Source organism: Homo sapiens, chromosome 13 (assembly GCF_000001405.40).
Source record: "Homo sapiens chromosome 13, GRCh38.p14 Primary Assembly".
Classification (NCBI taxonomy): domain Eukaryota; kingdom Metazoa; phylum Chordata; class Mammalia; order Primates; family Hominidae; genus Homo; species Homo sapiens.
Genome location: NC_000013.11, coordinates 53,939,233 through 53,948,363, shown reverse-complemented (window position 1 = coordinate 53,948,363; position 9,131 = coordinate 53,939,233). Strand labels below are relative to the sequence as shown.

Here is a 9,131-nt window from a genome sequence, read left to right as displayed (position 1 = left end):
TATATCAAATATATTCCTACCATCTCCTGAAATCATTCTCTAAAAATGCCAAACAGCGATCATCTCTTTGTTGATTTGCTATAAAAATAAAGTGCAGTTTTAATTACATAGTAAATTATATAATACATTTTAGATTAATTTACAAGGTGTTTAACTTATATCTGAAAATAATTTTAAATCCTTCAAGAACAGTGAGCGTGCCTTAATTTTCTTTTTCATACCTTATACAAGAGACATACTAATTAATGCACAAGGATTTGCAAAATGCATCAATGGCTGGAAGAATGAATGACTACCAGTGGTTTAAGTGTGGAAATAATGTCATTTGAAAGCTTATTTATTTATTTGACACTACATTCAAGAGCCACTAATTCTTTACTAAATCATGAAGTGGAATAACTAGCAGAAATTAGGTTGAGACTTAAAAATGTCTTACATGATCTCCTGTTGCATATCAATGCACCAGATAATCCAATAACCTTAGGCAGAGTGTAACACGTAGCATTGTTATAAACCATAAAAGGTGAGTTTTCAGGGCAATTACTCATAATTTATTAAGGAAACTGACCTTTATGATAAATTATATTTGGGAACTGCATTGTCTTGATATCAAGTATTTTTCTTGAACATGCAAACATCATCTATAATGTCACAGAAGTTAGTTGTGATCAATTCAACATCTCTCCAGTTGTGCTAAGTCACATGAGGGTGCAGTGACCCCCATTATCAAATATAATGCAGGCAATAATGTGACTACAGTTTTTAGTCATATGATGCTTTCTCGGTTATTAATAGTTCAGTATTGGGAGTGAGAAAATGGAAAATTAGCACTATGTCAGGTGATTTTATTGCTTGTAGATTTAGCAGTCTATAAGAAAATCTGTTCAACAATAAACACATTGTAAGGAAGAACTCTAACCTACTTATTTTCTTGTGTCTATTATACATTCGGTAAACTTCAACTTGTGACAATGCAGTTTTAAAAACATAGGGTTTGAAAGGCTAAAGAAATCTAATTTTAAGATGTCAACAGAATAAGGAAACCTAAGCTATGATAAGATGCTTATTTCATATACAGATATATAAGATCTAATAGAGAGATATATAAAATCTAAATATAGATATAATATAGCTATAAATATTATAGACATTGATATAGATATCTATCTCTATCTGAATCTATCTATTAGATTTTCAAAGGAATAAAGAAGTACTAATCATTCCCTAAAATTCTTTGAAAAAAGTTTCTGAGACCAAACTGGAGCAACCGTTACATGTAAGAGAAAAGACAGATGTTTTTGGAAAAATTCTTTTGTACATAGTATATTCAAAATTTTTATTGTAGGCAACATTGCATGGTGATGAAGACCACAATCTCTGAAGCCACACTACCTCGGATTAATGCTGGCTCTACCACTGAACTTACCTGTGCTAAAGTCTTTTGTTTTGAAATATCCATGTTCCCTTTCTTCCTTTCAGTAGCAGAAACTTGTGAGTTTTAAAGAGTCATATGGACATCCTGCGGAGTTGAATTCCCAGCCTCTCTTGCAACCAAGTGTGGCCATGTGTCTGAATTCCCATCAGTAGTGTATGAAAAGTAATGGATGTTATTTCTAGATTCTCCCTTGAAGAAACTTAGCTTGGCTCCTCTCTCTGTTTGCCCCTTATCTTTAGTTAATAATTGGCAATAACTGATGCAGCTGCACCGGAGCCAGAGGTGGAAGCTTCCTGTTGAGAATGACAGAATCATTATATTAGTCCTAGTCCCTGGGTGATGACTGAGTGGAGCTTATATCCCTACCACGAACTATAAAACAAGTGGAAGATACACTTCTGTGTTCTCTAGGAACTGTACTTTTGTTCTCTTTCTGTTAGCAGCTTGACCTATGCTTGTGCCATAACCAGCAGACTATTTCATAGTCATATGATGAGAATTAAATGACCTGATATGTGTAAGGCACGTAGAAGAGTGCCTGGCAGCTACTAAATTCTATAGACTTGTTTGCTATTATTATCAATTATTTTAAATACCAAGTAATCAGAAAAATACTACTGTATTAGGATCTTAGAATGATTTATGTTATTAAATAGAATCCCAATATCATTTATTAAGTATTCATACTTTACTCATATGACATTTTCAACCAATCCATTTTATTCCTTACCAAAACCTACAAGACAGGGAAAATAAGGTACGATACCTGGAAAAACCGCATTGTGTTTAATTTACTGTTATTTCTTTTTTTCTGAGTAACACATAAAGTAAGAGAAAATTAAAAGAAAGAATGACTAATAGTATATTCTTGATTAACAGTGTAGTCTTTGAAGGCAATCTTAGTTTCATGTCCCAGCTCTGAAACTTACTGCCTGGGCAAATCATTTGAATTTGCTGAATTTCAGATTCTCCTCAGTAAAATCATATAATAGCAGTTCCTTGCACAGCTGGCATTTTATTGCTTCCTCTCATTTTTTAGTTCTTTCCTCAGTTTTAGCAGCCACACGGTGTGGATTGGATTGACCCTCTCTGACCCCAACAGTGAGACTGATTGGTCTAATCCAATGTTGTCAATCACTACTCCCTTTCCACAGTGATTAGTACATGTAATTTAAGCCAATAAGCGTATGGCATCTTTTGGCCACTGTGTGTGTGTGACATGTGTTTAGGGAGGGTCACATCAGCATGAAGCCCAGCATGATGCTGCGCAGGGTACCAGTGTCTCTTTTTCCCCAAGTGGCTAAGGAGATGAGAGTGCTAGCTGTTGCTTAAAGGTATCTTACAAAGCTAGTGCAAAGTTGAAATCAGCACAAAAATAGAGTCTAGAGAACCCTATAAAAACAAGGCCAGGGTTCTTTTTGACCCAACTGGACTTTTCAGTAAAGGTAATTGTAAATTACCTTTACAGTTTGATCTAGTTTGATCTGGACTTCTTTGTTAGTTTAAAATCAGAGGCATCTTAACTGTTTTATGTTTTTTGTGTATAAAGAAAATGTTTTTGGGAACAGTGACTTGCATATCGTAGAAACCCAATTACTACTAGATTATACAATGAAAAACAAGAATAGTAACGTTTATATGTCCTAAGATATTTTTGGAATACTGTTATCTTTGAAATAATGCTCACCAATTATTTATATATAATTAAGCTGTTCTATGCTTCTTTTAAAAATTAGCATATGTGCTTTCTAAAATACAATATATTATGTTAGTCCCATTATATGACTTCTAGATATCATGTACAGACAAGTACATAGGAGGGGCTCACCTGAATAGTATTTTTCTATTTTATATGTTAAACACTACTGAATCTTAAATCAAACTAACTCTAATTTTAGTTCACCCATTTTTAGCTGTTATTGGCAGTTACACGTGTCTCAGAAAACATCCTGCCTAAACGTGAAAGGCTTGAAAATGGCCAGTTATGAACTTTGCTTCTGAAATTATTCAAAAAGAATTCAAACTGGGTAAGCAAAGCATGGAATAATATTAAATGCATTCCATAAAATAGTGAAATACCGATGAAGAGCAGAGGAGTACTGGGGGAAAGGAAACTTGGCTTTAATTAAAATGGAGCCTTGGGAGTTAAAATGTAGCCATTTCCGAAAAGACAAATCCAATGGGTGAAGTTTCAATGAGGTATAATCACAAACTTTGGCTGAACAGCACACTAGGCAAATGCTTGAGTAGGCACAGATTTGTGGCTTACAGTTCCCCATCACACACAAAGTATATCAGCATCACATGAATTCCTGGCTTCACTGAAGTAGTCGCTTAAAAAAATGCATGTACTGTATTGACTGTGCTGTTGTTTCCTTTTCTTCTTTGATGAATTGGCCAACTCTGTTGACTATCACAAGCTACTATATAAAAGCATAATTGCTTACAGGTAAGAAGCGTCACTATTAGGATCATTTCAGGTGGGGGGAATCCCAGTGCAATACATGAAAATGGGGGTATTACTTTGCTTAATAAGTTAAAAATTGTAAATCATCTAAATGAATGTTGTGAAAGTCAATCATACAGAAAAGTATCATTAGTATGAGTAAATGACACATTGTACAGGAATAAAGTGGTGCAAGACACTGATACTTTTGAAAAAATGGAAAAATGGAATTTCTTTCACTTTTGATTTGAATGTACTCTTTTCTTGTACAATCAACCACAGCTATGTTTGTTCAGAGCAGTACCAAAAGCATCATGAATTCTAAAATCTCAGTTCACCTCTAGGTCTGCCATTTTCTGGTCCTGCAATAAAAGCTCTCTTAGTTTTAATGTATTCATTGCAAAAATAGAGATCTTCCTCTCTTAAACTTGCTATGAGGATTAAGTAAGAAAATGTGAGTAAAATGGTTTGAATATAAAAAGCCGCTTATTTCTATGTAAAATCCTCATTCACTACATAGAAAAATAGTCATTATAGGTATATTGGTTAAGGGAGGGCTGGCTCTAGAAGCATGTAATCTAAATATTGCAGTAGTATAACATAATATTTATTTCTTACTGATATATTAATCAAGAGTGGGTGCAGAGTTAACAGAACAGCTCTGCTACATACAACTATTCAGGATCCATACTCACAGCAGCTCTACTGTATTCAATTCCTGCTTCACCAGAAATTCAGGCATCCACACTACCTAAAGTGGAAGGAGTTGAAAAGCACAAAGATGCTATTTTGAAGGATATTTAATGGGCTAAGTTACTCTTACCCATTGTGAAGTGGAACACCTTTCGTATACACCTGGGAGTCTGCTGTATGCCCAAAGAAAAGAGGAATATGGTTTTGATGAACAGCTAGTTGTCTGCCACGTCAGAACCTTTCTGTCTACGTGAACCTTTCTGCCCATAAAATGAACATAACCAGTTCCTTCCCAAAGGAGACTAGCCAAAGTTCCATCTAGTACTTGTGTCCATATTCAATTCTAGAGTCTCTGAGTGATTCAGAACCTTCTTCATCAGATCTGTTCATGGTTCCTTTTTGCTTCCCCACCATGCGTAACTGATATGGTTTAGCTGTGTTCCCACCCAAATCTCATCTTGAATTGTAGCTTCCATAGTTCCCACATGTTGTAGGAGGGACCCAGTGGGAGATAACTGAATCATTGGGGTGGTTTCTCCCATACTGTTCTTGTGGTGGTGAATAAGTCTCACGAGATATGATGGTTTTATGAGCAGAAACCCCTTTTGCTTGGTTCTCATTCTCTCGTGCCGCCACCATGTAAGTTGTGGCTTTCACCTTCCTCCATGATTATGAAGCTTCCCCAGCCACGTGGAACTGTGGGTCCATTAAACCTCTTTTTCTTTATAAATTATCCAGTGTTGGCTATGTCTTTATATGCAGCATGAAAATGGGCTAATGCAGTAACATGTGTAAAACAATGGGTGAAATAAAGATAAGAGCAGTAAATACTCTCATTCTGAAAAAAGAAAATCAGGAAAACTTAATAATTAGTGGACACTTAACCACAAATGGACTCTTACAGGATTCACTGTACTGAAGCCCTTTCCTGGCAACAGGGCAGATTCCTTGTTTAGAATCAGTTCTACTTTTTGGTCCATTGGTCTCTCTCTCTCTCTCTTTCTGTCTCTTTTTCTCATTCTCTCTCAATTTATTCAACTATGACTACCCTGAAGTTGTCTGAGGTTTGGGAATGAAAGCAACATGTTTATTATTACTTATTCCTATGCTTGCTACAGAATTCAGTCCCCATTTTAAACTAAGAGTTCTTAAGGCACCTTTGTTCCTGAAAGCATTTTTCACTTTTCTCTCTTAGCATTTGGGGTCTACTAGTCAATGGTTTTCCCAATGATTTATGGCTCTTAGCCTCAAGAATGTTTCATTCTCTTGAATCTCTGAATGAAAACCAGCCAATTCTTGCCCAAATCTACCTTTTTAACAACACCCTGCCAAAAGTTACAAGTTGCCAATATGTGATGTGCACAATAACCTCCTGAGTTTTTCCAGCCTCCTTCCTAGAGTTACACTCTTGAGGAGAAGACTGACTTCCTAGTTATCTCTAGCACAATTTTACCAAGTATTATATTTTGTCACAGCATGATATCAGTCATTAGAATTTCAGCCTGATATCTCTATCTATCTATTATCTATCTATCTATGTACCTACCTACCTATCTATCTAAAATTAGAACTGTACCTTATTTTAAGTTGTCAGTATCATTACAATAGTCAGGGCTTGCTAACTTCTAACCTTCAGTAAACTCCAAAATTTTAGTGTCTTAATAACATTAGAAGTTTATTTCTTTGTACTTAACCGTCCTGGTGGGGATTGGAGGCAATAAGAAGCCTTCCTGGCTGTGTGGAGAGAGACAGAAGCAGTCTGGACTCAGCTTCTCTGAAACAAACAGTGTTTTAAGAACTGGGGCAAGGGAGAGATCACAGGCCATCTGCTTTTGCTAATTGGCTTTACTCAAAGGAAAAGTGAACTTTCTCTTATCTTCATCACAGGAGATAGTTAGTTTTACAACTTGGAGCAAGGTACCCAGCTATTTCTCTGGAAGGACTGGCATTAAGTTCCTATTCTCTCATAGAAACTGAGACAAAGTGGCTCTATTTATTTTGATGATTGCATTTCAAGGGGATGGCCCCCAGGTCCCTGAGAAAAACTGCAAGAAGCTATTAAAAAGATTTACATCTCAAAGGGACAGATAAATAATTTATAAGTTTTCTAAAGTAAATGCTTTAAGAAAAGGGAGGCCAGGAGCCTTAAGTTAAGAAAAAACCTGTATAAAATTTAGTCAAACTGAGGGTAACTTCAAGGCCCTGGTCGATAGCCAGTGAAACAGATTAACAGCCATTCTACCATCTTTAATATAAGACTTCTGAGGTCATCTTGGAAGGTCAACAGAAAAGGCAAACAGCCTTGTGATGAACAGAAAAGATAAAGAGCTCATGTGAGAGTGTTTTGTCATTTCCATTCACATGTTATTGAATACTTATATATCTATTTTTTTCTGTTTTTTTTTTTTCTTTCCAAGTTTAATTTTAGGTCCAGGAGTAAATGTGCAGGTATGTTACATGGATAAATTGTATGTCACGAAGGTTTTGTGTACAGCTAATTTTGTTACCCAGGTAATGAGCATAGTACCTGATAGGTAGTTTTTCAAACCTCACCCTCCACCTTCAAGTAAACTCTAGTATCGACTGTTCCCTCATTTGTGTCCATATATATTTAATGTTTAGCTCCCACTTATAAGTGAGAACATGCAGTATTTGGTTTTCTGTTCCTGAATTAATTTGCATAGGAAAATTGCCTCCAGCTCCATCCATGTTGCTGCAAAGAACATGATTTCATTATATGCATATTTAATTAGAGAGAATTTAGGAACTTCTCACACCTAACTGCAGAAGAGGCTGGAAATGTAGCAATCAAATGGGATTTCGATAGCTTTCTCTGCAACCATAAAGAAAATAATACAACAGTTAAAATGTAGACATATTTTAAAATCTTTCCTCTCTCATATGGAGCAGCAGCCAAGCAGAGGGAGGTAATGAGAATTTAAGCCAGTAAAGACTATTGAGTGAGAGTAAATTTAACCACAATCAACAGGGCATATCAAGACAGCATGAAACTTTATAGGCACTAGACTTCAGGAGGATATTGGAGAAAATCGTACATATTTAAGATTAAGTATTTAGCAAAAGAAACTGAGTTTAGGTAATTTATATATAAAGGGATACTATTTTAAACATATTAGGTAAATCTTTCCATTTATAAAATGTCTTGGAGGATACCCAGTTAGGAACAATTCACCAAATCAAAACAAAACTGGTTTTGGGAAGAAAACTCTTCCAGAGCCAGTGGGCAGAGGCCACAGGTTTCTGCTGCTTCTGCCAATACTGGACACAGAGAGCTACTTCTAGAGCTAATGCCACAACTAACTGTGGGTATTGGATATAGTTGCTGCTGCCTCAACCAAATGAAAATTTCATGTTTGCTTCTTTATGTCACTAATTCACAATTCAAAATGTGGAGTGGATGTACTTAATTGATGGAGAGGATCACAGTTTCATATCTAGAGAAATGATTATCTGGCAATTTTAAATTTCATGGAAGATGAATTCTGCCTGAATGTAAAGGATTTCACAAATATGACAAATGTGTCCAGGGACTGGCTTGTCAAAAAAAAAAAAAAAATTAAAAGAGAGACAGAATGGCAGTATCAGCGCCAGCCCATTAGTCTGGTTACATGATCAGTTAAAGATGGAAAAGCAAACTGTGTTTAGAGAAAATAATTTGTGTTTGATAAAATACTTAAGGAAATTGATGGGAATTTAATTTTTTTTTAAATACAGTTATTTTATTTAAAGGGTCAAACTAATTCAATCATCAAATTGACAATTGCCAATGTTAGTCTTCATTTGTTGAACAAATATGACACAGACACCATTTTAGAAAATCCAAGATGATTTATTTATCTGTAAGATGTAGAAGAATGTCAGCATAATCAAATCAGCAACCTTCTTTGAGTAAGAGAAGGTGTAAGTGTCAGGACTCTTGGAGCCTCTGGAGAGGGCACACAGGAGCACAGGATGACATATGAGTCAGTGAATGCCACCTTAGACTTTCTGGAAGCTCAAATGCTACTTTTCAGGTGTAGACTCCTATCCATAAAGATGGGTCAATTCTGGTCACAGCCTTGCCTGAATAATGGCCGAAGACCTCAGTCCTGTGTAGGTGCACTTCATCAGTCTCAGGGTTATGCAATGCTTGATATAATTACTGGGTACTGTAAACAGAAAATCTCAGCCTGAATAAACTTTCTGTCCATCACTTTCAAGCCCTGTGTTAAAATCAGAAGGGTGAGTTATACAGAACTCCCTGAGAGTCATCAAGTTACAGGAATTATTTCAACCATTTGGGCAGTGGAGGGGAAAGCAAGCTGGTAAGCAAATGAGCAGTTTTGATAAAGCAAGCATTTTAAATAACAAGATAAACCAAGGTAAGTCATGGACAAACTGATAATAAACATCTAAACACTAATAAAAGTAAGAATATTGTGCTTTTACACAGTGATTTATGTTTTTCAAAATATCTTTGCATAGAAAATTCCTACATAAAGCATTTAGTTAAATTGCAGTGCATATTGAGCCTAGAGAGATAAATTGATTTGTCCA

General features: G+C 35.7%; 1 annotated feature.

Moving 5' to 3' along the window:
* Window positions 6,177-7,024: an enhancer, noted in NCBI's record as "OCT4-NANOG hESC enhancer chr13:54515475-54516322 (GRCh37/hg19 assembly coordinates)". NCBI's record gives its function as "activates a minimal SCP1, AML or CMV promoter by ChIP-STARR-seq in naive H9 embryonic stem cells {active_cell/tissue: H9 hESC(naive)}" and the evidence as "EXISTENCE:reporter gene assay evidence [ECO:0000049][PMID:30033119]".